Source organism: Homo sapiens, chromosome 20 (assembly GCF_000001405.40).
Source record: "Homo sapiens chromosome 20, GRCh38.p14 Primary Assembly".
In the NCBI taxonomy this organism is placed as follows: Eukaryota; Metazoa; Chordata; class Mammalia; order Primates; family Hominidae; genus Homo; species Homo sapiens.
Window position 1 is genome coordinate 25,380,955 of NC_000020.11, and position 27,911 is coordinate 25,408,865.

At 46.9% G+C, this 27,911-nt stretch overlaps 2 protein-coding genes and 1 long non-coding RNA gene across 14 annotated transcripts in view, besides 7 other annotated features; 1 reads left to right on the top strand and 2 right to left on the bottom strand.

Annotated features, from left to right (window-relative positions):
* ABHD12 (abhydrolase domain containing 12, lysophospholipase) overlaps positions 1-9,881 on the bottom strand; it is a 96,093-nt gene extending 86,212 nt beyond the window's left edge. For all 6 annotated transcript variants that reach the window (NM_015600.5, XM_047440090.1, NM_001042472.3 and 3 more), the window contains exon 1: positions 9,559-9,881. In NM_015600.5, the coding sequence (NP_056415.1) occupies positions 9,559-9,749 (191 nt within the window). In that variant the 5' untranslated portion in view covers positions 9,750-9,881. The remainder of the gene's footprint in view (positions 1-9,558) is intronic.
* Positions 8,971-9,130: a silencer, noted in NCBI's record as "silent region_12749". NCBI's record gives its function as "represses an Ori minimal core promoter by ATAC-STARR-seq in GM12878 lymphoblastoid cells {active_cell/tissue: GM12878}" and the evidence as "EXISTENCE:reporter gene assay evidence [ECO:0000049][PMID:35858748]".
* Positions 9,301-9,460: a silencer, noted in NCBI's record as "silent region_12750". NCBI's record gives its function as "represses an Ori minimal core promoter by ATAC-STARR-seq in GM12878 lymphoblastoid cells {active_cell/tissue: GM12878}" and the evidence as "EXISTENCE:reporter gene assay evidence [ECO:0000049][PMID:35858748]".
* Positions 9,501-9,550: a silencer, noted in NCBI's record as "silent region_12751". NCBI's record gives its function as "represses an Ori minimal core promoter by ATAC-STARR-seq in GM12878 lymphoblastoid cells {active_cell/tissue: GM12878}" and the evidence as "EXISTENCE:reporter gene assay evidence [ECO:0000049][PMID:35858748]".
* Positions 9,591-10,010: a silencer, noted in NCBI's record as "silent region_12752". NCBI's record gives its function as "represses an Ori minimal core promoter by ATAC-STARR-seq in GM12878 lymphoblastoid cells {active_cell/tissue: GM12878}" and the evidence as "EXISTENCE:reporter gene assay evidence [ECO:0000049][PMID:35858748]".
* Positions 13,696-27,341, bottom strand: LOC105372581 (uncharacterized). Its single transcript, XR_937403.3, has 3 exons — positions 27,117-27,341; positions 21,726-21,883; positions 13,696-13,769 (listed from the first exon to the last, which is right to left on the bottom strand). It is a non-coding gene; the product is annotated as an uncharacterized LOC105372581 (long non-coding RNA).
* Positions 16,966-17,166: a silencer, noted in NCBI's record as "peak4176 fragment used in MPRA reporter construct". NCBI's record gives its function as "represses an SCP1 promoter by STARR-seq MPRAs in K562 erythroleukemia cells {active_cell/tissue: K562}" and the evidence as "EXISTENCE:reporter gene assay evidence [ECO:0000049][PMID:32103011]".
* The window catches only part of GINS1 (GINS complex subunit 1), a 40,891-nt gene continuing 39,698 nt past the window's right edge, over positions 26,719-27,911 (top strand). For all 7 annotated transcript variants that reach the window (NR_134574.2, XR_007067484.1, XR_244227.5 and 4 more), the window contains exon 1: positions 26,719-26,941. Coding sequence is in view for 4 of the 7 variants with exons in the window: in NM_021067.5 (NP_066545.3) it covers positions 26,867-26,941 (75 nt within the window). In the remaining 3 variants the exon portion in view is untranslated. The remainder of the gene's footprint in view (positions 26,942-27,911) is intronic.
* Positions 26,761-27,010: an enhancer, noted in NCBI's record as "active region_17669". NCBI's record gives its function as "activates an Ori minimal core promoter by ATAC-STARR-seq in GM12878 lymphoblastoid cells {active_cell/tissue: GM12878}" and the evidence as "EXISTENCE:reporter gene assay evidence [ECO:0000049][PMID:35858748]".
* Positions 27,108-27,865: an enhancer, noted in NCBI's record as "NANOG-H3K27ac hESC enhancer chr20:25388698-25389455 (GRCh37/hg19 assembly coordinates)". NCBI's record gives its function as "activates a minimal SCP1, AML or CMV promoter by ChIP-STARR-seq in naive H9 embryonic stem cells {active_cell/tissue: H9 hESC(naive)}" and the evidence as "EXISTENCE:reporter gene assay evidence [ECO:0000049][PMID:30033119]".

The following is a 27,911-nucleotide window of genomic DNA, read 5'->3' on the forward strand; positions in this document are numbered from 1 at the left end:
ACTCCATTCTTCCTGTTGCTCAGAAAGTAGTTTGTGAATCCAGAATCACATGCCTCTTCTTATCTCCACAGCTGCTGTCCCGGCCTGAGCCCCTGTCATCTCTTGCCTGGATGACCCTGGCAGCCCCTAGCCGGTCTCCCTGCTTGCCCACCGCAGTCTGTGCTTGTCACACAGTCAGAGTGACATGATGACACACACCATGCCATTTCTCTAGCAGCCAGTGGCATCCATTCACATGTCTCCTTGTCAGAAACATCCCCTGTACACCCAGACTGTGCACACACAGCCACAGGGCCTCATCTGCGGCTATTCCCTCACTGGCACCATTTTCCTCCTTAGTGCCCTAAGCACATGACATCATGTGTTTCTTCATGTTTTATCTGCCTCCCCTACCAGAATGTAAAGGCCAGGAGAACTGCAACGGCCTCAGCATTCACAGGTGTTACTGGGCGTAACAGGTACTCAAACTGTTAAATGAGTGGCTGGAAAAAAGTGTTAAATAAGCAAATAGTATTGCTACAAATGCTCTAATACCAACAGACACATTAACTGATCAGGATGGACCCTATATGCACGACTGGCTGAGAAGCCAGACTCTTAATTGTTTGGGGCAGAAAAGGGTAGAAGAAAATCCTTCTAGACATGAGCTAACAGATCTTTCTCAGTACCCTCTTTTTTTTTTTTTTTCCTTGTTTTGTTTTTGAGACAAAGTCTCGCTCTGTCACCCAAGCTGGAGTGCAGTGGTGCAATCTCGGCTCACTGCAGCCTCCACCTCCTGGGTTCAAGCGATTCTCCTGCCTCAGCCTCCCAGGATTACAGGAGATAATCCCTCACCTGGGATTACAGGTGCTCACAACCTCACCTGGCTAATTTTTGTCTTTTTAGTAGAGATGGTGTTTCACCACGTTGGCCAGGCTGGTCCTGAACTCCTGAACTCAAGTGATCTGCCTGCCTCGGCCTCCCAAAGTGCTGGGATTACAGGCATGAGCCACCACACTGGCCAGTACCCTGAGCTCTTAATATTATAATCATCATGGGGCTAGTCATCTAGAAGATGTCACTGACCAAGCACTCACCATGTGCCAGGAACATTCCACACACCTGGGCCTCACCACAATCCTACAGGGAAGACACTCTTATCCCTACATCACAGATGAAGAAACAAACTCAGAGTGTTACACAACTCACCCAAGCCAGAGAATCTGAAAACTCACCTGAGACCTGGGTCTCTATGAAGGCTATCCTCTGAAGCAGTAAATCACAATACAAAGGGGCTGAGGCCTAAATGAGAAGTCTTGCTGGTAATGGGACAGTTTGGTTCCGGCATCCTGGCTCTTGGCCCCTGTTCACTGACTGACACTCTAGACGCTGGCTCTCGGTGTGGCACGAGATAGATGGCTTACCCACTCTCATGCTGAAAGGGCCCCTGCCAAAGCACAAGCACACTGAGACCAAAGTCCTGTGGCGTCATCTCTGGGTGAAGAGCATTGACTTCATCTGTCAGCTTTTGAGGTTATATTTCAATAAACATTTTCCCTGCAGATTTCACTCTGGAAGGACAAGTGTTCTAATGGAAGAGGAGAGAAAGGAGGGGAACGAAGAGGAGGAGAAGTTGCAGCAGCGGGAGTCTGAAATGAGGTCCTGTCTCCATCGCTGTTAGCACAAACCTGACAAGATGACCCATCTTCCATGCCTCTCTCCAAGGCTTCCTCCATGAAAGTGCCTCAGGTGCTTTCAGCCTGCCCAAAGATACCCCTCACAGTTCAGGCCTGTCTGCCAAAGTCACCATAGAAGGCGGACACTCCCTTGGGAAGGGTCACTGTGGCTGAAAGGAACTAGGAACCAAGCAGAGATACAGGATGCAGAGTCCTAATAAAGCAGAAGGCAGTGGCAAAGCACCAAGTCCCAGTGTGGCCAGTCCCTGGCTGGAGTGCAGCATTGATAAGGTACACTGAGTTAGGAAGAGGAAAACCAGTACCAGTTGAGGGGGGGGGCCAGCTATGGCGCCATAAACAAAGCCAGCCCCATGCCTTGTCACAGTCCTGGCCCAGACTGTACTGAGGGTGGAGCAAAAGGAAAAAGGAGATGGATGAAGCAGACTTTAACCACAAAAGCTAGCTCAGAACTCGCTCCCATCTTCCTAATCTGTAAAGAAAAGATGAAGAGATACCATACAGGGACACTTAGAGGGTGAGGTTGATACTGAACCTCGGGAAGGCTGACACTGAAGAAGACAGATGTTAACCTCAGCCACCCACTCTTCTGGGTTAGGGGGAAGCCATTAGCAACCTTGGATAAAGTATCTTCTTTGGGTAAAGGAAGAAATAGGTGTGATGACTATGTTCTTTGGCATTTACGTATGAGGGTGATCTGGCTATGAAACCTCCCATGCAGCCCACTGATCTCTGTCAATCCAGCAGATCTGGCCTGTCGGTTGGGAGTTGGAGGATAAAGACTAGGTAACACACAGACCGTGTACATCTCATGACTGCCTTCTCAGGGTCCAAATTAGACCAGTCATGCCTTCAATGCACATTCCCAACAATTCCAGGGCTAATGAAAGGCCCACAAAATCCCTCATTTGGGCTGGGCGCGGTGGCTCACGCCTGTAATCCCAGCACTTTGGGAAGCCGAGGCAGGCGGATCACAAGGTCAGGAGTTCAAGACCAGCCTGGCCAATATGGTGAAACCCCGTCTCTACTAAAAATATAAAAATTAAGGCCGGGCACAGTGGCTCACCCCTGTAATCCCAGTACTTTGGGAGGCCAAGGTGGGCGGATCATGAGGTCAGGAGTTCAAGATCAGCCTGACCAACATGGTGAAACCTCGTCCCTACTAAAAATACAAAAAATTAGCCAGGTATGGTGGCGTGCACCTGTAATCCCAGCTACTCGGGAGGTTGAGGCGGGAGAATCACTTGAACCTGGCACACGGAGGTTGCAGTGAGCCGAGATCACGCCACTGCCCTCCAGCCTGGGCAACAGAGGGAGACTCTTTCTCAAAAAAAAAAAAAAAAAAAAGAAAAAAAAGAAAAAAAATTAGCCGGGCATGGTGGCGGGCGCCCATAGTCCCAGCTACTCAGGAGGCTGAGGCAGGAGAATCGCTTGAATCTGGGAGGCAGAGGTTGCAGTGAGCCGAGATCACGCCACTGCACTCCAGCCTGGGTGACAGAGTGAGACTCTGTCTCAAAAAAAAAAAAAAGAAAAAAAAAAATCACTCATTTGCCCAGTACCTCCTCACACCAGATACCATGCAAAGCAAAACTGATCTAGTTCCTCGTCTCAAGGAGTACAGAGTTGACCTATGAATGAGATAAATATTTACCTTTAAAAATTATCTTTTGGCCCAGAATTTAAAAACAAAAAAAACTGGTTTGGGGTTTTTTTTTTAACCTCCAAAATTGTTCTCATCTGAGTTACTTACCAATGTTAAAAAAGTTGGCAATACTACACACACACACACAAGCACACACACTAAGACAAAAAAAAAACTATATAAACAAACAAAAGGCCGGGTGCACTGGCTCATGCCTGTAATCCCAGCACTTTGGGAGGCTTAGGCGGGTGGATCACTTGAGCTCAGGAGTTCAAGTCCAGCCTGGGCAACATGGCAAAACTCTGTCTCTACAAAAAATACAAAAATTAGCTAGGCATGGTGGTGGGTGCCTGTAGTCCCAGCTACTTGTAAGGCTGAGGTGCGAAGACCATTTGACCCTGAGAGGCAGAGGCTGCAGTGAGCCATGACTGCACTGCAGCACTCCAGTCCGGGTGTAGAGCCAAACCCGATCTCAAACACAAAACAAAACAAACTAAAAAAAACACCAGCTAGTCTTTTCCAGAAAGACTGGACAATCTGGCCACTCTGGGACCACATTCCTGCCAGGCAGCAACAGGACAGGGTGTGGTAGCTGCTGTCCCCTTCAGAAAGAACCTGTTCTCTCCACTTCTCAGCATCCCCCAGAACTAAAAAGAGATATTTTCTTTGATGGAGCACAAAACATGTGTGTGTGTGTATGTGTGTGTGTATATATATTTCCCCACTTCAGTGTATGTATGGATATTAGATATATTACTGACTAGCCTAAATCAGGAGGAAAAAGCAGGCCAGGCGCGGTGGCTCACGCCTGTAATCCCAACACTTTGGGAGGCCAAGGCGGGTGGAACATCTGAGGTTGGGAGTTTGAGACCAGCCTGACCAACATGGAGAAACCCTGTCTCTACTAAAAATACAAAATTAGCTGGGTGTGGTGGCACATACCTGTAATCCCAGCTACTCGGGAGGCGGAGGCAGGAAAATCGCTTGAAACTGGGAGGCGGAGGTTGCAATGAGCCAAGATCATGCCATTGCACTCCAACCTGGACAACAAGAGTGAGACTCAAAAAAAAAAAAAAAAAAAAAAAAGAGGAAAACGGAGGAAAAACCCTAATTACAAAAAACAGGGAAGAAAACTAGGGAAATGGCCATAGCTACAGAGGAGAAAAGGTGAATTAAATTGGTAATTTTATAAGAATACATAAACCACCAAAACTGAAACCAGGACATAGCAAATTCTAAACAGACGTAGAAGACACTGTAGTAGTTACCGAAGTGCTATATTCTGAAACAGCACTGGCTAGGGTGGTGGCTCATGCCTATAATCCCAATACTTTGGGGGACAGAGGTGGAAGGACTGCTTGAGAGAGAAGTTCAAGACCAGCCTAGGCAACGTGGCAAGACCTGCCTGTACCAAAAAATTTAAATAAATAAATAAATAAATAAATAGAAAGGCACCAGGCTTAGACAGTTTTACAAGAGAATTTCTACCAAATTTTAAACAAATAATTTAAAAAATTCTTAAGCTGGCTAAAAGTTTAGAATAAAATGGCCGGGTGCGGTGGCTGACACCTGTAATCCCAGCACTTTCGGAGTCCAAGGCAGGCGGATCACGAGGTCAGGAGATTGAGACCATCCTGGCTAACACGGTGAAACCCCGTCTCTACTAAAAAAAATACAAAAAATTAGCCAGGTGTGTTGGTGGGCACCTGTAGTCCCAGCTACTTGGGAGGCTGAGGCAGGAGAATGGCGTGAACCCGGGAGGCAAAGCTTGCAGTGAGCCAAGATCGCGCCACTGCACTCCAGCCTGGGTGATGCAGCGAGACTCCGTCTCAAAAAAATAATAATAATAATAATAAAAATAAAAGTTTAGAATAAAATGTTATGTAAGAAACTTTTTACAAAGCTATAGAAAACACTAAAACAACTTGATAAAGGTTGCATAAGAGAAAATTACAGACTATTCTCACAAATGATGTAAAATTTCTTTTTCTTTCTTTTTTTTTTTTTGAGATGGAGTCTTGCTCTGTCGCCCAGGCTGGAGTGCAGTGGTGCAATCTGGGCTCGCTGCAAGCTCCACCTCCCGGATTCATGCCATTCTCCTACCTCAGCCTCCTGAGTAGCTGGGACTACAGGCGCCCGCCACCACGCCTGGCTAATTTTTTTTGTATTTTTTAGTAGAGACGGGGTTTCACCCGTCAGCCAGGATGGTCTCGATCTCCTGACCTCGTGATCAGCCTGCCTCGGCCTCCCAAAGTGCTGGGATTACAGGCGTGAGCCACCGAGCCCGGCCTCATGATGTAAAATTTCAAAATAAAATATTAATAAATAGGCCAGGTGCGGTGGCTCACGCCTTATAATCCCAGCATTTTGGGAGGCTGAGGCAGGCAGATTATCTGAGGTCAGTAGGTCGAGTCCAGCCTGGTCAACATGGCAAAATCCCGTCTCCATTAAAAATACAAAAATTAGCCGGGCATGGTGGCAGGTGCCTGTAATCCCAGCTACCCGGGAGGCTGAGGCCAGAGAATTGCTTGAACCTGGGAGGCAGAAGTTGCAGTGACCCGAGATCGTGCCACTGCACTCCAGCCTGGGCAACAGAGTGAAACCCCGCCTCAAAAAATAAAAATAAAAAATAAATGAATAAATAGAATCTGGCTATACAATAAGAGAGTTTATCCCAGGAATACAATGATGATTCAATAATATAAATCCATTACTATAACTCATTATGTTAACAGATAAAAGAAGAAAATCTCTATGATCATTCCACAGATGTACACTGGCATTTGAGAAAACTCAATCACCATTTTTTATTTTAAAAACATCAGTGAGGGAGCAGGAACAAAAACAAAAAGCTCCCCACAACATTAGCAACACACCCCAGCATGGCACTTAAATGGCAAAAACACTAACAGCATTCTCATTAAAGTCAGGAATGAAACAAGTTACTCAGTGTCATCCCTATTATTTAACTTTGTTCTAGAAATACAATGCAATCAGAAAAGAAAAAGAGGTCAGACATGGTGGCTCACACCTGTAATCCCAACACTTTGGGAGGCCGTGACAGGGAGATCACTTGAAGTCACGAGTTGGAGACCAGTCTGGCCAACATGGTGAAACCCCATCTCTACAAAAAATACAAAAATTAGCCATGTGTGGTGGCACATGCCTGTAATCCCACCTTCTCGGGAGGCTGAGGCAGGAGAATTTAGGCCTGGCACGGTATTTCATACCTAACACTTTGGGAGGCCAGGAAGAAGGATCGCTTGAAGCCAGAAATTCAAGACCAGCCTGGGGGCAACATAGTGAGACTTCATCTCTATTAAAAAAAAAAAAAAAAAATTAACCAGGAGTGGTGGCATACACCCAGCATCGATATGGGAGGATCGCCTGAGCCCAGGAGGTCTGGGCTGCAGTGGGCCATGATCATGCCACTGTGCTCCAGCCTGGGTGACGGAACTTTCTTAAAAAAAAAATTGTTTAAAAATATTCCAGGCCGGGCGCTGTGGCTCACGCCTGTAATCCCAGCAATTTGGGAGGCCGAGGTGGGTGGATCACGAGGTCACGAGTTCGAGACCAGCCTGGCCAACATGGTGAAACCCCGTCTCTACTAAAACTACAAAAGTTAGCCAGGCACGGTGACGGGCGCCTGTAATCCCAGCTACTCAGGAGGCTGGGGCAGGAGAATTGCTTGAACCTGGGAGGTGGAGGTTGCAGTGAGCCGAGATTGCCACTGCACTCCAGCCTGGGCGACAAAGCGAGACTCCTTCTCAAAAAAAAAAAAAAAAAAAAATCCAATCCTTCATCCTACAAAAAAAAAGAGAAGAGGGATGGATGATTCAAAATTGGCTAAACACTGAAAACTTTTAAGTGATGGACACATGAAGAAGGCTCATTAGATTGTCTTCTCTACTTCCACGTATGTCGACAATAAAGAGTTTAAAAAATGTGCGGAAGGATCCAAAGAAGGATCATAAAAGACACAAACGAGCCGGCTCTGTGGCGCAATGGATATCTGTTCTATGGATATTTGTTCATTCAACAAGTATTTTCTGCTACCTACTACGTGCCAGGTACTGGAGATACTTAAGTGGAGAAAACAAAGCTCCTGTTCTCATGGCGCTTCCATTCTGGTTGCGGGGGAGGCACACGAGCAAAAATTACAATCTCGAGTGATAACAAGGTCGACAGGAGTGGGCTGGTCTAAGAAGGCCTCAGTGAGGAGGAGGTGATGGTGGCGCAGAGCCTGAGCGAGGAAGAGAAGAAAGCTCAAGGATGTCTGAGACAGCCAGCTGGGAAGGAAGACAACCTAACAAATTTGGTCTTCTTTCCCTTTGTTTTGCTTTTTACCCCTAACAGCCTTTTGCTTATCCAAAGGATATGGACACCACTGGAATGTCTCTCTTTGTCCTGACACGAAAATAAAAATTAATCGGGTAATTTTAATACAGTACATTCTTCAAGAAGGTGCCAGGTCGCCGCTGTTTCCCCAAACGTTGTGTAAAACAATTTGATTTTTTCTTTTTTTTTTTTTTTTTTGAGACGGAGTTCCGTTCTTGTTGTCCAGGCTGGAGTGCACTGGTGCGATCTCGGTTCGGCGAGATCTTGGCTCACCGCAACCTCCGCCTCCCAGATTCAAGCGATTCTCCCGCCTCAGCCTCCCGAGTAGCTGGGATTACAGGCATATGCGCCACCACGCCCGGCTAATTTTGTATTTTTAGTACAGACGGGGTTTCTCCATGTTGGTCAAGCTGGTCTCGAACTCCTGACCTCTGATAATCTGCCCGCCTCGGTCTCCCAGAGTGCTGGCATTACAGGCGTGAGCCACCGCGCCCGGCAATTTGATTTTTTCGAAGGAAGAATTTTCCAATTTATCTAAGCGTTATGCCATGTCTGTTAATAAAATTGTATTAAAGTTAAATCATGAGTTTTTAATGCAGATAAATCTTTCCATAGCAAAGAGAACAGATTAGTTTCACAAAAGATATTGATCAGATGCTACATAATTTTACACATAAAGACACAAAACTATCAGTCTCCGCCCTTCTGTCAAACCATCGACTTAGAAGTGTCTATAGTTTAATTTCATGATTTTTTTAAGCAATGAAGTTGAAATTCTACTTTTCCTTAGGAGCGATACGCATATTTTACACTCAAGTGGCCAGCGTCAACTAAGGGCATTCCAGATGGTCAAAAAAGAAGTGCCTCTGCTACAACGCCTGAGATCATCATATAGTAACTTCTTCAAACCACCACGAAGTAGCAAGGCTTCAAAGCTGTCAGGAATGCTACGTTCTACAACAGCCAGATAATTAGGAAACCAGCAGATGGGAGGAGAAATCTGTCCCTATGAAACACGTTCCCATCTCAGTTTTGAAAGTGGCTTTATATAAACGCATTCATCTTCTACCCAATAACCCAAAGGTTATTGAACGCCAATAACCAAACGACTCAGGACTGCGAGATGATTCCCAAGGAGGCGAACTTGTGCGGACAGATTTCAAGTACCACGAACCATCACCAGCAGAGCGAAGGGCAGGTTTCCCTCCGACGGCTGCGATGCTCCGAGTCCCTCCTTCCCCTAGCACCCCGCCGCCCACTGAGCCCTTCCCCAAAGGTCCCCGAGTTCTGAGCGACGCACGCCCCCGACCCTAGTTACCGGGGAGAGCCGCCGAGGGCCCAAGGCGCCAGTAAGGCTCCGCGCACGCAGCCCAGCCCGAGGGGCGCCCGCCCGGGCGCTCGGTGTGGGGCCTGATGCAGAGCAGGAGGAGGAGGTCCGAGTGGGCCCCAGCGCTCTCAGGGTCTGGCGCCGGCCCCTCTGCCTCCCGCCTCTGCTGTGCCTGGCGTCCAGGGATCTTCCAAGGACTCCCCACCCCCTACCCTGCTCTCCCACGCGGGGTCATGACTTCGGGCGGCGCCAAGCCCCCAGCGTAAGGGTCCCCCCGGCTTCCCCGGGAAAGGGTCGGGGTGCAAGGCTAGGCCAGGAGTGCCTGGCGAGAGGGCCGGAGCAGGACACAGGGGGTCAGCGGCAGGGCAGGGCGCTCCCGCCGCGGTGCCTGGGGAAGGGAGCGGGGGTGGGGCTGCCGCGGGCCAAATGCGGGACACAGGCGCGGACGGGGGCGGCCGCGGATCGGGCGGACGGCCACTCTGGGAGGGGCTGGGAGGTACCGCGGCCCCCTGCGGGACGCACCTGCGCAAAGTGAGGGACCGGCCCCCCCCCCCCCCCCGCTCCGCGCGAAGCCTCACCTGCCCAGCGCCCGCTTCATTCCCGCGTCGGCTGCGCAGCGCGGCTCAGCCGCCGCCGGGCCCGTCAGGCGTAGGTTCTGCTTCAGGCGGCAGTCGGCGTCCAGCGCCGCGGCGGCCGAGCCGGAGGAGGACGAGCCCGCGGCGGCGCAGCGCTCATGCTCCAAGGCGACGGGCTCGGTCCGCTTCCTCATCCCGCGGCCGACAGGGCCAGCCGCCGACGGCGCCCGCTGGCCTGCGCCGCAGTGCCGCCGCTCACAGCCGCCGCCACCCAGAGCCCGGAGCCCGGAACCCGCCGCTCCTCACATCCCAGCCCAGGCCGCTGCGCCGGCTACGAACCAGCGGCGGGGGCCCGCCAGCCAGGCCGGCCAATCAGCGCCGGGCTCCCGCCGGCTCTGCCCTACCCCCCTCCCCCGGCCCCGCCCCGGCCACCTCCTCTCTAGTTCCAAGGAGCGCGCGCCCAGCATCCCTGGCGCCACCCGCAGCCATTTTGTGGGAGGGTGGGCGAAGCTGCAGCGGCGCGTCATCTGCAGGGCAGGGCTCTGGGCTCCATCCGCAGGCTGCAGCTGTGCTCGCCCGGGCGCTCGGTGTGAGGAGCACCCGCTCCCGGTCGTGCCCGAAAGGGGTGGCCCAGCGAGGCAGAGCCGCAGCGCTGGGCTCCTCGTGCTTCTGTGAACGGAAAACCAGAGGTAGCAAATAGCAGTTCCGTTCTCGTGATTCTTAATTCTTTTTCCACAAGGACATTACCTTTAAAAGTATGCTTTCCGGTCGTCAGTTTTTAATTTGAAGTAAATGTATATACTCAGTGTTTACTTTTGGGCCGAACATCAGGAAATGAACTGCTTGAAAAATTTACTTTTTAAAAACCTGTGTTAGATTTTAGATTTTTATAAAGCAATTAAGACTACCTGATGGGAGGAAAATCCATTTCAAAGATAAATTCGCCCTTATGAAACCCAAATTTAGTACTAATTCAACCCATCCTAGAAAGAGAAAAGGAAAGAATAAAGGGCTGTTTCACAAATTTAGTTTTATAACTTTGGCTTTCTTCAATATGGCATTAGTTTTACAGATGATCTATAACAAAGAGAGATATTTGCTTATTCCAAAGTAACGTTAGAAATTTCAGCATTTGTCACTTTGAAAACTATTGGCAATTGATAAAGGTCAATTGGAAATGCGTTTAGAAATTCAACAGCTTTTTATATTAGTTTTTTCTTTTTTTTTTTTTTTTTTTTTGAGACGGAGTCTCGCTCTCGCCCAGGCTGGAGTGCAGTGGCGCGATCTCGGCTCACTGCAAACTCCGCCTCCCAGGTTCACGCCAGTCTCCTGCCTCAGCCTCCCAAGTAGCTGGGACTACAGGCGCCGGCTACCATGCCCGGCTAATTTTTTTGTATTTTTAGTAGAGACAGGGTTTCACTGTGTAGCCAGGATGGTCTCGATCTCTCGATCCCGTGATCCGCCCGCCTCGGCCTCCCAAAGTGCTGGGATTACAGGCATGAGCCACCGCGCCCGGCTGCTTTTTAAATTAGTTTTGTAATGATACTTTGAAATTGCAAAATAATTTATTGACCATATTACTAAGTGTTACAGCCTGCATTCATAATTGTGTCAATATCTCCAGATATACTTTTTAAAAACATTATGGGCCGAGCTCAGTGGCTCATGCCTGTAATCTCAGCACTTTGGGAGGCGGAGGTGGGTGGATCATTTAAGCACAGGAGATGGAGGCCAGATCAGCCTGGCCAGCATGGTGAAACTCCGTCTCTACTAAAAATACAAAAATTAGCCGGGTGTGGTGGCACAAGCCTGGGTGACAGAGCAAGACTCTGTTTAAAAAAAAAAAAAAAAAAAAGGCTGGGCGAGGTGTCTCACGCCTGTGAGCCCAGCACTTTGGGAGGCCGAGGCGGGCGGATCACGAGGTCAGGAGATTGAGGCTATCCTGGCCAATGTAGTGAAACCCCGTCTCTACTAAAAACACAAAAATTAGCCAGGTATGGTGGCACAACCCTATAATCCCAGCTAATTGGGAGGCTGAGGCAGGAGAATCGCTTGAACTTGGGAGGCGGAGGTTGCAGTGAGCTGAGATCACACCATTGCACCCCAGTCTTGGGGACAAAAGCAAACTTCTGTCTCAAAAAAAAAAAAAAAAATTAGCTGGGCATGGTGGCGCGTGCCTGTATTCCCAGCTACTTGGGAAGCTGAGGCAGGAGAATCGCTTGAACCAGGGAGTCGGAGGTTGTGGTGAGCCGAAATTGTGCCACTGCACTCCAGCCTGGCGACAGAGGGAGACTCCTCTCAAAAACAAACAAACAAAAAAATTAGCTGGGTGTGGTGGCGCACGCCTGTAATCCCATCTACTTGGGAGGCTGAGGCAGGAGAATTGCTTGAACCCGGGATGCTGGGATTCGGAGGTTGCAGTGAGCCGAGATTGCACCACTGCACTCTAGCCTGGGTGACAGAGCAGGACTCCATCTCAAAATAAACAAACAAACATACTATGGAATGTAAATTATAAATTCTTTATAGTGATGTAGTAACACATCCTGGAGAGATTGGAAATCTAGGAAATAACTAAAACGTAAAAAAAAAAAAAGAGGTTTTGACTCTATCGCTCACTTCAATTAAAAAAACAACAACAACAAAAAAAAAACAGCCAGGCGCGGTGGCTCATGCCTGTAATCCCAGCACATTGGGAGGCCGAGGCGGGCGGATCACAAGGTCAGGAGATCATGACCATCCTGGCTAACACGGTTTCACACCCCGTCTCTCTAATAACAATATAAAAAATTAGCCGGGCATGGTGGCGGGCGCCTGTAGTCCCAGCTACTTGGGAGGCTGAAGCAGGAGAATGGCGTGAACCCGGGAGGCGGAGCTTGCAGTGAGCGGAGATCGCACCACTGCACTCCATCCTGGGCGACAGAGTGAGACTCCGACTCAAAAAAACCAAACAAACAAACCAAAAAAAAAAAAAAAAAAAAACAAGGAAGGAAGAGCTGGAGAGGAAAAATCTGTACCGTGTATTGAATCTTTCTTACAGGCACGAGGCCCTGCCCACACAGTGCTCAACTCTTGGTGGTTGAGCCCATGCTAGTGATGCCCACATTTTTATCATTGGTCCACACCTCTCCTTGACCCTTAGGCTCCTCATCATTTCTGCTCTGATTTCTGACAAGCACCACTTCAATGCTGAGCTCCCAACTCTTCTCCCACCCCCAACTCCATCCATGACCTTCTCTGGTAATTCTATTGCAGTTCCTGGGGCCACAATTCTGGGGTCATCCTTGACTTCTCCTTTCTTGTGCTATAGCATGTCTATCACCAAGCCTTGTCAGCTGTGCTTTCAAAATCTATGAGAATTTAACCATTAAATTTTACCGCCTCCATGGTCCCCACCCTGGGCCAAACTGCTGTTATCTCTCACCTCCATTATTTGAATAGCCTAACTGGTCTCCTGCCTCCACTTTGCCTCACTTCTGTCCACTTAATTCAGCTGCCACATAGGGTTTTCTTGTTGTTACAAGGTCTAATTCTGTCATTTATTTGCTCACAACACCTAAGTGGCTCCCCATCTCACTCAAAACCCAAGGCTTACAAAAGGGTTTAACATGGCCCTCCCTGACTGTAGAGCACCCGATTCTGTCGTTGATCAGGGGTGCCACTTGCAACCTGCATGGACTTAGGGTAACAACAAAGGGTGGTGAACGTGAGAATAAAAGACAAGAGACAAGAGTATGTTTGGAAGAAGGGGTCAGGGGGCACCTTGCCTCTAGTGGACAAGGGCCCTGAGCTTTACACAGCCCTCCATATTTATTAGGCAAAACAGATAGGGATAAATGGGGGGTGATTGTGGGGTAATTGTCAGTCGGCTGGTTGGTTCACAGCAGGCTTGCCAGACTGCATCGTTTGAACAATAGACACTAGATTTCTCAGTAGATAACTTCAAGGAGCCCCGTGCCAGGGAGTGAGGCCCTCAGCCAACCTTTTGGTGGCAGGCGCAGTGTGAGTTTGCTCACATCCTGCATTCGTGATAGTGATAAACAGTTTGCTATTTGATCATATAGCCTCCAGTGGAATGCTGAGTTGATCATGATCCCTTTGGCCTTTTTGGCTCCCAACATCTCTCCCTTTGTGTTTATGTATTAATTGAAAGAATGTAAGGCCAGGCTGGGCATCTCTCATTCTCTGATTGGCAGTCCGTCCGATTTTACAGACTATGAGCAGAAGACAGAGACAAAACAACATTATTCCAAGAACTACATATAAATTGTTAATGTGGTGCTTTAGATAGGTCCAAGGGTTGAGGCTTGCCAGGCGTTGCTGGAATTTGGTCCAGTCTTCTAAAGCAGGTTGAAATTTTTGAGTTTGCTTATTTAAAACAAGAATTTTGTTTTGTAATTCACCAATATCAAAGGTGATGTTGGATGTGAACGCTCCCTGTAAATGGGCTTTCACAAGGTCCCATGGATAGTCACTTTGGTTATATTCTTAGTTGTTTACACAAATATGAGTGTGGTTAAAATGACAATGCAACTGATGCTGCAACTGCAAGCTCTGTACTTTTTCTCCTAACCAAAGGACCGTGGATTTTAACATTGCCACTTCAGTTTGTAACTCAGTGTTAATTTTATTCTGAAGTAGCCACGGTTGGTCAGCTGTGCGCGTCCAGTTCTCCAGGTACTGAGCTGTTTGAATAGAATTATGCAAAGCTACAGAGGACATCACAACAGAAGTTATTAGTGTGACTAAGGAAACAATAGCAAAAATTATGCCTAAGTCTCTACAGACACGATGCGTAAGCTGAGTTAGAAGAAGTTTCACAAAATGCAAAGCAGGCATGGCAGCCCAAGGTTCAGACAGATTAACAGGAATCCATAGCCCAGGGATGTGACCCAGAATCATCAAGGTAGAAATACTATGTGTTTGCAATGTGCTGTGATTAATGCAGTGATAAAACTGGCAAGATTTACAGGTCAATTGGGTATTGTTTACCTGGAGCTGGTTCTTCTTAGCTGCCAAAAAGACATAAGAATTAAAAACAAAAACTGTAAATTGAGTGGTGATATTCTTTACAAATGCAACATTAAGATTGTGTTGCTTACTATTGCTATTATTGGATAGTATTCCAGTCCAGATGTTGCCATTCATACATGGGAGTGCTGCCTTCCATATAGTCTCTTGAATTGGTCCTTTCCTCCCTAGATAATGCCACTGAGGAAGAGGTGGGCTAAAGCCTGCTCCATGCCAAGCAATCTGGGTGGCAGACTGGGATTGGATCCCAGTACTGTATAAAGAAGAAGCATTAAAAGCTTGCCACCAATGCCAATGAAGTTTGTGCCATGATTTCTGATTTTCATCTTTTCGATCTAATTGACCTTTAGGTTCCCAATCCACAATGTCTCCAGTTAACATAGATTGTTTTCTAGCCAGTGGACCAAGACACTGGGTCCACGGAGGGGGGTAGGAACTACTGAATGGAATCCATTCCATATAATCAGCACAATTAGGGCGATTGGGCCGGGAAAGGTTGGTTAATAGAACCAAGACTTAATAAGTACATAATTTTTCCATAATGATTCAACCATGTTTGAGCTTGAATTGTAAGACAGCTATGGCTGAGCGACATCTTTGTGTTGATTCACAAAGGAAGTCCTTCCAGTGGAGCAGTATAATTAATGACATTATTCTGAGAGTCTAACTGTTCTATGTCAGGGGGAGTTAGGGGTCCTGGAGCCTACTCTCCCTGATCATGATAAATCTCAGGAGGAGTGTCGCTCCAAAGTATAGGTCGTACTGCTGGGAGATTGAGAACGTATGCCCAATGTTTTTGCCTCTGCACAGCGAAAACATACCACATGGGACACTATGGCTAACATGGCCAAGAACATGGAATCAGGGGTTTTTGCCTGTCACTGATGCTCCAGTAGTTTCTCAGCTTCCCACGTGGTTTTCTTGAGTTCTCCCCAGGTTGTGGGGATTGATGTCATCATCACTCTGCTTGGCCTTCTCTCCATCTTTGGAGTCAGGCTCAGCTGGCTCATGGCTCGTATCGGAGGGGCCGGGCCCATGGTTGGCCACCCTGGGTTCCTCCAGTCTCCTATTCCATGGTCGCGTGCACCTTGAGGACACCCACACAGTTTGTCCATCTCCTGTAAAAACACAAGTATACCCTCTTCTCCATGTCAGTAAATCCACCGGACCTTTCCATTTTCCTTCTTCCAGGGGTTTCCATAACACTTTCAGATAAACTTTCCTCTTTTCCTCTAACACTTGCCAATGTCTTTCTGCTGGAGTCTTACCATCCGTACCAGGAGTCAAAAAATTTAAATAAGGCTAAATGTAGTTTTGATTGAGGTGGTAGTTGGCCTCCTATACCCCCTTTTTGTATTTTCAACATGCATTGTAATGTTCGATGTGCCCGCTCTACAATGCCTTGTCCTCTAGGATTATAAGGAATTCCCGTTTTATGGATTATAGCCCAAAGCTATAAGAAATTTTGAAAAGCATGACTAGTATAAGTGGGTTCATTGTCAGTTTTTAATAGCTTAGGTATCCCCATGTGAGCAAATGATGACAATGTCACTGTACATGACCAGCTGTCTCACATGTTTGGCATGTAGCATGCAGCATATGAGAATAAGTGTCTATAGTTACATGAACATAGCTAAGCTTACCAAAGGTTGCTATGTGTGTAATATCCATTGGCGAAATATCATTTGGAGCCAAACCTCGTGGGTTACAGCCTTCTACAGGTGTGGCTCTAGGGACATGCTGGCAAGTAGGACGGGCTTGTATTATAGCCCTAGTTTGGCTGCGAGATAAAGGTAACATGCGAGTAAGGGCGGCAGTATTTTGGTGCAGAAGCATGTGAGACACTTGAGCTTGCTGAAACACAGAACCAATCAGCTTGTCTGCTTTCTCATTACCTAGAGATAGTGGCCCAGGAAGTTGTGTGTGAAAGTGAATATGAGAAATATGAAAAAGAGCTTCAGGAGAGCGAATAGCTTGTTGAAGTCTTACAAATAAATTAAGCCGGCTGGGCGTGGTGGTTCACGCCTCTAATCCCAGCATTTTGGGAGGTCGAGGTGGGAGGATCACAAGGTCAGGAGTTGGAGACCAGCCTGGCCAATATGGTGAAACCCGTCTCTACTAAAAATACAAAAAAATTAGCCAGGCGTGGTGGTGGAGGCTGAGGCAGGAGAATTGCTTGAACCCAGAAGGCGGAGGTTGCAGTGAGCCAAGATCATGCCACTGCACTCCAGCCTGGGCAACAGAGCGAGATTCTGTCTCAAAAATGAAAGAAAAAAAAAGTGAAAAGGGAAGGGAAAGGGGAAGGGGGAAGGGGGAGGGGAAGGGAGAGGGAAAGGGGGAGGGGGGAGGGGAAAGGAAGGGAAGGGAAGGGAAGAGAAGCGAAGCAGTTCTGGGTCTAGTGTACTTTTAATTGTAGCAGTTCCTATGCAACTGGCTACATTTACAACATAAGCTGAATCACAGACAATGTTGATGGGATCTGAGCTGTGAGCTGTAAAACCTGAATGACTGCAATTAGCTCTGAGTGTTGAGCTGAAACCCCAGAGGTCATTATTGTTTGAGTATGTTTTGGTCCATAGATAGCAGCACAACCTTTGGAAGAGCCATCACTAAAATAAGTCTGTCCACCTAGAATAGGCTTGTGATGAGTAATCACAGGAAGAATGAAAGAATGGATTTTATAAAACTGTAAAATTTTGTCTGAGAGGTAGTGGTTATCTATAGCACCCACGAAGTCTGCAAAAGCAGTTTGCCAGGCAGTCAACATTTCCCAAGCTTTGGCTTGTTGCTGGGAGTCTAAAGGAACAATAATTTTGTCGGGGTCATATCCCATAAGCATTTTTGACCTATGCCTGCCCATAGTCACAATTTGTGTAATTAAAGAAAAATAAACTTGCAAGGTTTTGACTGTTTGATTAGGTAAAAAGAGCCATTCTATTGTTACAGACTTGTCTATGAACTGTCCCAAAAGTCCTGTTGGAGAGTGGGGGGGTAGGAAGAATAAACAAAAGCAAGGGTTTTTGCAGCTGTAGCCTTGAGGCATGTCTCTGCTGTAACCTTTGCTCTACAAGCCATAATTCAGCTTCTGCCTCTTTAGTTAATTGCTGCAGGGAATTTAAAGAAGAATCTCCTTGCAGGGTTTGGTAAAGATGTGTAAGTTGATAGGTAACAATACCTAACATTGGCCATAGCCAATTAATATCTCCTAATAATTGCTGAACATCCTTTAAAGTTTGTAACCTGTCTTTATGGAGAACTACTTCCTGAGGCCGTAAACTTCTCTCTAACAATAGTTCCTAAGTATTGGAATGGGGAAGTTGTTTGTACCATTTCTGGAGCTATTTGGAGACTCCATTTAGTCAAAGCCTTCTTTGTTTCTCTGAATAACTGTTGTAGGATTTGATCTGTAGGAGCAGCCAAAAGAATATCATCCATAAAATGAATGATGTAAGCAGTAGGAAACGTATTCCGAGGCTCTAATGCCTGCCCTACGAAAGGCTGACATAGCATAGGACTGTTAAGCATGCCTTGGGGTAAAACTCTCCATTGATAATGAGAAACAGATTCTCTTTGATTAATAGAAGGCACAGAGAAGGTAAACCGAGGCTCGTCCTTGCCGTGTAAGGGCATAGTAAAGAAACAATCCTTAAGATCTATTGCTGCAAGAGGCCTGTCTCTTGGAATAGCCACTGGAGATGGTAAACCTTTTTGTAAGGCACCCATCAGTTTTATATGTGCATTAATAGCTCTTAAATCATGTAGCAGTCGCCATCTTCTGGACTTTTTTGTAATAACAAACACTGGAGAATTCCAGGGGCTGACTCCTCTCTGAGTCCGGCATCCCATTGTTCTTTCACTAGCTGCTGAAGTTGTGTCAGCTTCTCCTGAGATAGGGACCATTGATCTACCCATATGGGTTTGTCACTGAGCCATTCTAATGGTAAGGTAGTGGGTGGAGGAGAAATATCAATGACCCCCATCAGAAATCCTGATGTCCTAGCCCTTTTCTGTTTTTCCAGTTACTGATATCGGGTTAGGATTTCCTTGAAATTTTCCTAAACCTTTTCCCCTCTGATATCCCGTGTTCTTCAACATTTTAAATCCTGGGTTATCGAAGTTTTCATTTGTAAGTCTCATATCCCATGCTGTAAGTAAGTCTTGACCCCATAAATTGATAGCTATATTTGCAACATAAGGCTGAAAAGTACATGACTGTCCATCTGGACCAAGACAAGACAAAATCTCAGGGCTCTGTTGAACACTTTGAGCTGTGCCTACTCCCACTAGGGACATAGAAGTTAATTGCAAGGGCCAGGATGGGGGCCAGTTGTCTTTAGAGATTAGTGATACATCAGCTCCTGTATCCATAAGCCCATAAAATTTTTTTCCTTTAATTTGTACTACACAAGCAGGTCTGTTAGAGGCTATGGGTTGGGATACATAGATTTCCCATGTAGTTGTGCTCCCAAACCCTTTATTTCCTTGTTTCTCCTTTCGTGGAGAAGGGTGTAATTTGCAGGGAATAAGCAATAATTAGCAATATATTCTCCCGGTTCAAAAACCCAAAGATCTTGTGACATTAAAACTACTTGAATTTCTCCTTCATAATCAGAGTCAATCCCTCCTGGGACTACAGTGATGCCTTGCAAGTTAAGATGGCTTTTGCCTAAAATTAGTCCCATGTATCCTGTTGGTAAAGGTCCCCAAATACCAGTGGGAACTTTGATAGGTCTGTCTCCCCCTACTAACGTGATTCTTTCTCTGGCGGGTAGATCTAATCCTGCACTTTGTGGTGTTCCTGGGGTGAGGGAATCAAGTGCCTCTGGGAACTCATCCCTGAAACGGGGTTGAAGTCTGGGCTGGGAATGCCCTCATTGTTTGTGGGGCCCGGGTCCAGGCCCCGTCTCGTTTCCTGGCATGGGGGTCCCATTCTGATGAAATTTTGAGCGACACTGATTAGCCCAGTGATTTCCTTTGTTACAGCAAGGACAAAGTCCTGGCGTTTTTTCCGCTCGGTGGGGCACTGTATTGTAAGGTCCTTTCTGTCCTGAGATCTGGCGGCATTCCTTTTTAAAATGTCCAGTTTTTCCACAATCATAACATTTTCCCATTTTAGGGTTTGACCCTTGGCTCCTTTTAGATTTGTCAACTGCTAAATTAGCCATTGCTTGCGCTAACATTTCAGAGTGATGAAGCTCAGTTCCCACGTCCTGACAAGCTCTGAGAAAATTTCCCAAGTTTTTTGTACACCTCACCGGTGCCAGTGCATGTTTATAATCCGTGTTTGCGTTCTCAAAAGCTAGAGTTAAGATTAGCATTTCTGCAGCTGCGGTATGAGGAATTTGGCGCTTCACTGCTTCTCGCAGTCTTGCAAGAAAATGTGCATAGGGTGGCCAGGTGCAGTGGCTCACGCCTGTAATCCCAGCACTTTGGGAGGCCGAGACGGTCAGATCACGAGGTCAGGAGATCGAGACCATCCTGGCTAACACGGTGAAACTCCATCTCTACTAAAAATACAAAAAATTAGCCAATTGTGGTGGTGGGTGCCTGTAGTCCCAGCTACTCCGGAGGCTGAGGCAGGAGAATGGCGTGAACCCGGGAGGTGGAGCTTGCAGTGAGCCGAGATTGCGCCACTGCACTCCAGCCTGGGCAACAGAGCAAGACTCTGTCTCAAAAAAAAAAAAAAGAAAAAGAAAAAAAGAAAAAAGAAAATGTTCATAGGGCTCTTGCAACCCTTGCATGATATGTAAAAAGGATTGTACTGGGACTCCGTCTTCAGGAATTGTGGCCCAGGCACCTTTAGCGGCCTGTGTTCACTGCTGATAAGCAGCGTCTGGGAGTGCCATTTGATGTTCCAGGTCTGAATAAGGGCCATTACTTAATAGCATATCCTCTGTAATGTCTCCATGTCCAGCAACATGATTCTGTCTAGCCTGGTCTGCACACATTTCTTGCTAATTTAAATTCCATGTCAGATATGTGCTAGTGGACAAGCAAGCTCGCACCAAGTGTTTTACATCAAAGGGTAAAAGACTCATAGCACCAAACACGGATTCTAGCAATCCTAAGGTAAATGGGCTCTGTATGCCATCATTTACCACACTTGCTTTTAATTCCTTTAACAACTTAAACTCTAGTGGAGTGTGTTCATGAATAACCTGCTGTGGATTATTTGGATCAGACCTTACAAAAATAGGAAAAGCACAGGGTTCTAAGGGCTCTCCAGCTATGGCAGCAGAGTGTAAAAATCTTTGTATTGGGGTCTCTATTTCTGCTACTGAAGGAGGCAGTACAGATGTTTCTGCAACTGGAGGAGGCAGTATAGGCCAATTTTTATCCTCCTCCGTTTTTTATTTTCAATTGGCGCTGTGGGTGGGACAACAGATTCTTTCAGATTTTTAGATTCAGCCTGCTCCCCCACAGAATAATAAGGAGATAATGGCAGAAGTACAGTACGAATTAAACTCCAAGTGGAAAAAACAGAAGAATCAACTTTAGGACCTTTTTGATGAGTCTGTTTTAATCCTTCTCCTGCTTTAGCCCAATTTTCCACATCAAGAGTGCCTGCCTGGTGGCTGGGCGCGGTGGCTCATGCCTGTAATCCCAGCACTTTGGGAGGCCGAGGCAGGCAGATCATGAGGTCAGGAGATCGAGACCATCCTGGCCAACATGGTGAAACCCCATCTCTACTAAAATACAAAAAATTAGCCAGGTGTGGTGGTGCACGCCTGTAGTCCCAGCTACTGGGAGGCCGAGGCAGTGGAATCACTTGAACCCAGGCAGCAGAGATTGCAGTGAGCCGAGATCACGCCACTGCACTCCAGCCTGGCAACAAAGCAAGATTCTGTCTCAAAAAAAAAAAAAAAAAAAAAGAGTGCCTACCTGTAGAAACCATGGGTTATGTGTAATACCTTTTGTGGCTTCTGCAGGAGGTTAGTTAGTGCCTGCGAATTAACCTGAGCTCCAGACTGTCTCAACCGAACTTTAAGCAACTGCACATAATGTTTTTCTTTAATAGACAAATTCTGCCCCTTGTTACCCTGAATTCAGAAAACTTCCCATTCCCAGTACTTCTTTAAAGCACTGCTCCCAGTACCTCTTTAGGGCACTAACCTTATATCCGCTACCGGCAGACTCACCCTGGGATCCCCGTTCACCTTGTCAATTTCAGTTCCTCTGCTCCAGCAGACCTTCTTCTTCATGTCCTTGAAGTCCCTGTTTGGGCGCCACTTTGTAGAGTACCTGATTCTGTCGCTGATCGGGGGTGCCACCTGTAACCTGCATGAACCTAGGGGGACTGAACAAAGGGGGCGGTGAATGTGAGAATAAAAGACAAGAGACAAAAGAGTATATTTGAAAGAAGGGGTCAAGGGGCACCTTGCCTCTAGTGGACAAGGGCCCTGAGCTTTACACAGCCCTCCATATTTATTAGGCAAAACAGATAGTGATAAATGGGGGGGGTGATTGTCGGGTAATTGTCAGTCAGCTGTTTGGTTCACAGCAGGCTTGCGAGACTGCATCCTTTGAACAATAGGCACTAGATTTCTCCGTAGATAACTTCAAGGAGCCCGGCACCAGGGAGCGCGGCCCTCAGCCAACCTTTTGGTGGCAGGCACAGTGTGAGTTTGCTCACATCCTGCATTCTTGATAAACAGTTTGCTGTTTGATAATATAGCCTCCAGTGGAATGCTGAGTTGGTCACAATCCCTTTGGCCTTTTCAGCTCCCAACATCTGACCTGACTGCTGGCCTCTCCTATCATCAACCTGCTCCAGCATCACTGCCTCTTTGCTCATCCTCAGCCGACCTTCCTGGGGCCTTTGCAGCTTGATTCCTCTGCCTGGAATTTCCTGCCTTCCCTAAGGCCCATAACCACTTGGGTTATTTTCTCCCTGTTCAGGTCTGTGCCTTCTCTGAACACTTGAACTCAAAACCCTGACTCTTTCACCTTCACTCTATTCATCTTCTTTGGGTTATTCTTAGTGCTTTTTCACCAATATATTTCTTATCAGTGTATCTGTGTATTGCGTTTTCCCACACTGGAATGTAGACTCTGTAGAAAGGACTTTGTTTACTGCTTTATTTTCAGTATCTAGGTCAATGCCAGGCTAATACTAGTGTAAACCAAAAATAAAATCCCAAACCCTCCATCCCCTGCTGACTGGATGGACCCCTTCTGGGCCAAGGGGACCCCAGGGAAACCTGAAAAAAAACAAAAATGGAATTATCGGCTATGACAAGAAGCAAGATGGGATGCACCTTGTTGTACCCCCTCCCTTTTGGAGTATAGGTGCAACTGGCCAGCATTAACATTAAAATAAAGATCCTAAGACTCACAAACACACTCTTTGTGGCAATAAGGTCCAAACTCCAACCTGACTGATGTAGCATCACATGACAGATAGCAGACTCTGAAGGAAATCAAGATGTTTTACCCCAAAATATATTTCTTTGAAATATTTTGAAATGGCCCTGGAAAGCCATCTTTTGTGTGGGGAATTTGCATCTGTTAAGAATCTCCGTTAATGCAGCCAGGTCTTTCCTGAATCTAGGAGAGGTTAAACAAGAGTTTAACACACCTTTTAAGATCCAAAAAGAGACATTTACCATCAATTCTTTCAGAAGGCTGCTGCCTATGAGGCTTCATCCACATAACAAGAAACTTGGTCTCCACAACCTCCCCCTTAACTCAATAATTTCCTTCTATTGACAGTCTTTAGACAAAACTTGACTCAACCAATTGCTAATCAGAAAATCTGTAAGCTCCCTGCTTCAAGATATCCCACCTTTTTAGGCTGAACAAAAGTACACCTTCCATGTGTTGATTTATGATTTTACCTATAATTCCTGTCTCCCTAAAATACATAAAACCAACCTGTAACCTGTAACTGCACTGCCTCAGGCACGCTTTCTCAGGACCTCTTGAGGCTGTTCCTGGGCCATGGTCACTCATTGGCTCAGAATAAATCTCTTTAAATATTTTAGAGTTTGGTTTTAACTTCAACACTAGGCATTTCATAAATATTTGCAGAAGGTATGACTGAATCATCTTAACTCCTTAGAGGTGGTTCCACTGTTCTCATTCTACTGTTAAGGAAGTGAGTCTTGGGGTCATTAATGAACTTTGCCTCTGGGCTGAAATTAAAAAGGCCTATGGCTGAGGAGGGTAGTGCATGCTGGTCTTTGATTCAGTCCTGCAGCATAGTCCAGTCTAGAGTTGTGTATTTGGGAAAAACACCTAGATAAACTATTCCTTACTGTAGAGATGAAAATATAATTGCCCAAGGGATTCTCCTTGTCCACTGCCCAGACAGAGCTGATTTATCAAGACAGGGGAGTTGCAATAGAGAAAGAGTTTTTTGGTTTTTTGTTTGTTTGTTTGTTTGTTTGTTTTTTGAGACAGAGTCTTGCTCTGTCGCTCAGGCTGGAGCTCAATGGCACAATCTCAGCTCATTGCAACCTCCGCCTCCAGTGTTCAAGTGATTCTCCTGCCTCAGCCTCCCAAGTAGCTGGGATTACAGGCATGTGCCACCAGGCCCAGCTAATTTTTTTTTTTTTTTTTTTGAGACAGAGTCTCACTCTGTCACCCAGGCTGGAGTGCAGTGGTGAGATCTCGGCCCACTGCAACCTCCACCTCCTGGGTTCAAGCAATTCTCCTTCCTCAGCCTCCTGAGTAGCTGGGATTACAGGCGTGTGCCACCATGTTCAGCTAATTTTTTTGTATTTTTAGTAGAGATGGGGTTTCGCTGTGTTGGCCAGGCTGGTTTTGAACTTCTGACCTCAGGTCATCCACCTTGGCCTCCCAAAGTGCTGGGATTACAGGTGTGAGCCACCATGCCCGGACAGGCTAATTTTTGCATTTTTAGTATAGATGGGGTTTCACCATGTTGGCCAGACTGGTCTCGAACTCCTGACCTCAGGTGATCCACCCGCCTCAGTCTCCCAGTGTGCTGGGATTACAGGCGTGAGCCACTGGGCCTGGCTGAGAAAGAGTTTAATTCACGCAGACCCAGCTGTACAGGAGACTGGAGTTTTATTATCGCTCAAATCAGTCTCCTAGAAAACTCCAAGATAGGGATTTTAAAGGATAATTTAGTGGGTAGGGGGTCACAAAGTGAGGGGTGCTGATTGGTTGGATGAGAGATAAAATCATAGAGAGTCAAAGCTGTCCTCTTGGGCTGAGTCAGTTCTTGGGTGGGGACCACAAGACCAGATGAGCCAGTTTATCGATCTGGGTGGTGCCAGCTGATCCCATCAAGTGCAGGGTCTACAAAATATCTCAAGCACTGGTCTTAGGTTTTATAATAGTGCTGCTATCCCTAGGAGCACTTGGGGAGGTTTTAGAATCTTGTAGCCTCCCGCTGCGAGACTCGTAAATTTCTAGTCTTGTGGCTACTCTGTTACTCCTGCAAAGGCAATCTAGTCCCCAGACAAAAAGGGTTTCGCTTTGGTAAAGGGCTAAGTATTTGTTTCAAAATTAAACTATAAACTAAGTTTCTCCCCAAGTTAATTCGCCCTAAGCCCAGGAATGAACAAGGATGGCTTGGCGGTTAGAAGCAAGATGGAGCCAGTTAGGTCAGATCTCTTTCACTGTAATAATTTTCTCTATTATAATTTTTTCAAAGGCGGTTTCAAAAAGGCAATGTTTGCTGGGTGCGGTGGCTCACGCTGTAATTCCAGCACTTTGGGAGGCCCAGGCGGACGGATCCCTTGAGCTCAAGAGTTGTCGACCAGACTGGCCAACATGGTGAAACCCTGTCTCTACTTAAAATACAAAATAGCCAGGTGTGGTGGCCTGAGCCTGTAGTCCCAGCTACTCAGAGGGCTGAGGGGGGAAAATTACCTCAGCCCGGGAAGTGGAGGCTGCAGTGAGCTGAGATGGCGCCACTGCACTCCACCTGGGTAACGGGAGTTAAGACCCTGTCTCCAAAAAAAAAAGGCAATGTCATTATTCAACATAAGCCTGAGTAGGCCATTCCCATGCCCATTCCTTAGATGACATATCTACTGTATATTTGCAAAAGATCAACATAGTTTCTAGGGTTAGCTAGAATTAATCCAAGATTGCGCCGGTTGCGGTGGCTCATGCCTGTAATCCCAGCACTTTGGGAGGCCGAGGTGGGCGGATCACGAGGTCAGGAAATTGAGACCGTCCTGGCTAACACGGTGAAACCCCGTCTATACTTAAAAAATTCAAAAAATTAGCTGGGCGTGGTGGCGGGCGCCTGTAGTCCCAGCTACTCGGGAGGCTGAGGCAGGAGAATGGCGTGAACCCGGGAGGCGGAGCTTACAGTGAGCCGAGTTCGCGCCACTGCACTCCAGCCTGGGCGACAGAGCGAGACTCCATCTCAAAAAAAAAAAAATCCAAGATTGCTTGTTAGAAATTAACATTGCTTTTTGAAAAATTGCCTAATAAAACAATTCTTTAGCAGTGATTCCCATCTTCCATATGCTTAAGAAATATTCCATAACCATCTAGCCAAGAAAATTCCTAGTGAATTCGTATTAATCTAGGGCAGATATTACAAATATTTTTAAAAGACTATTTTAAAATCAAAGGGTGGTACTGTGGTGTTGGAAATGGAAAGCCTAAATAACAGTCTAATCACTCTGGAGCTGTGTGACCTTGGGCAAGTTACCTAACTTCTGTTTCCTTATTAATCCCGGGTCTTAAAACACTTCAGAGATAATTGTGGGAATGAAATACACACTGCAGTCCCTACCAGCACTAGGTACCCAATAAAAGAGAGTTTCATTTTAATATCAAACAGAAAACCCGCACTGCAAAACTGAAACCCTTGCGTCCTACCAATGCACACCAAGTTTTTGGGCCTTTCCTCTTAACCTCAAAGTGCTCTTTTCTTGAACCTAAACGAGAATGAATGAATCAAAAGGAAAATGACAAGGAAGCTGCGGGGCGTGCATTTATTTCCAGCTCTGCTGCCCGTAGAGTCCCCCGGCCCACTGCCTGAGAACTGGAAAAGCCGTCTCTGCTCAGCCGAGGGGTTCTGCCATCTCCGGGGCGGGGACCTCACCTTGGAAAGACCCCTCCCACTCCGCCCCTCTTGGAATGCGGCTGAGCGGTGGATGTCCCTTTTCGGGCGCCGTAGGCGCGTTCCTATTGGCTAGCTTTGTTCGGCGCCAAAGCGCGGAGCGGAGGCCGAGGCGAGAGCCTGGCGCTGTAGGACTAGAACGAAAGGAGTGAGGCGCCGAGAGCCCAGATACCATTTTGGCGTGAGAGCTGGTGGTTGGCAAGGCCGCGGGAGTGGGAAGCGTCCGCCATGTTCTGCGAAAAAGCCATGGAACTGATCCGCGAGCTGCATCGCGCGCCCGAAGGGCAACTGCCTGCCTTCAACGTGAGGGGCGGGTAGACTTGGACGGGGCATGCCGGCGTTGGGCCCTGGGCTCTGGGGCGGGGCGGCTCCCCGTCAGGGTTCACTTTCGCACCTTGTTCCCTCCGAGCTCCGGAAAACTTGGGAAGCAGCAAAACAAAATTCAGGAGGAAAGAGAAAGCATTCATGCTTACGCTACCCAGCGATTTGGTGAATTTCCTCATCTGAGCAAATTTTGCATTTTAGCAGTTTTCCTTGGACAGATTTGTTCCGGTCCCTTAAAATATTTACAGGTTGCCTGATAATTTAGCATTTCTTGCTCACTCAGGCATCTAATCGTGGTCAGTAAAAGCTAGGCCTCTGGAACCTGGCTGAGATTCTGGTTCTGTAGTGTGACTTTGGGGCAGTTACTCAAGCTTTCTGTGCTCTCAGTTTTCTCATACGCAAAAATGGGGATGGTGACAATAATAGTACCCAACGCATGATGTAGTGGACGCAAAATGAGTGGCATGTGTAAGGGTCTCTGCATATGCCTCACATACAGTAAGGGCTGAGTCAGTGTTAGCTATTAATATTACTTTTCTCCTGCTGCTGCTGTTACTATTAATATTATGATTATTTGTATTTTTCTATCACTGCTACCCCAGGGAGAGTGCTAAGCACTTCATGTACATTATCTTTTGTCTTTCTAATAACCCTTTGAGGGCCCGGTACCATGGCTCCTGCCTGTAATCCCAGCACTTTGGGAGGCTGAGGCGGGAGGATCGCTTGATCCTGCCACTGCATTCCAGCCTGAGTGACAGGGAGACCCTGTCCCAAACAAAACAAAAATAACTTTTTGATGTTTAAACTATTGTTTTCTACTTTTTTCAGCTATATATGCATAGGATTGGGGAGATTTAAGTATATTGCCTAAGGTGACACAGCAAGAAAGCTAGGATTTGAACCCTGGCACTCTGGCTCCAGAGCCTGCACTCTAAATTGTATATTTCAC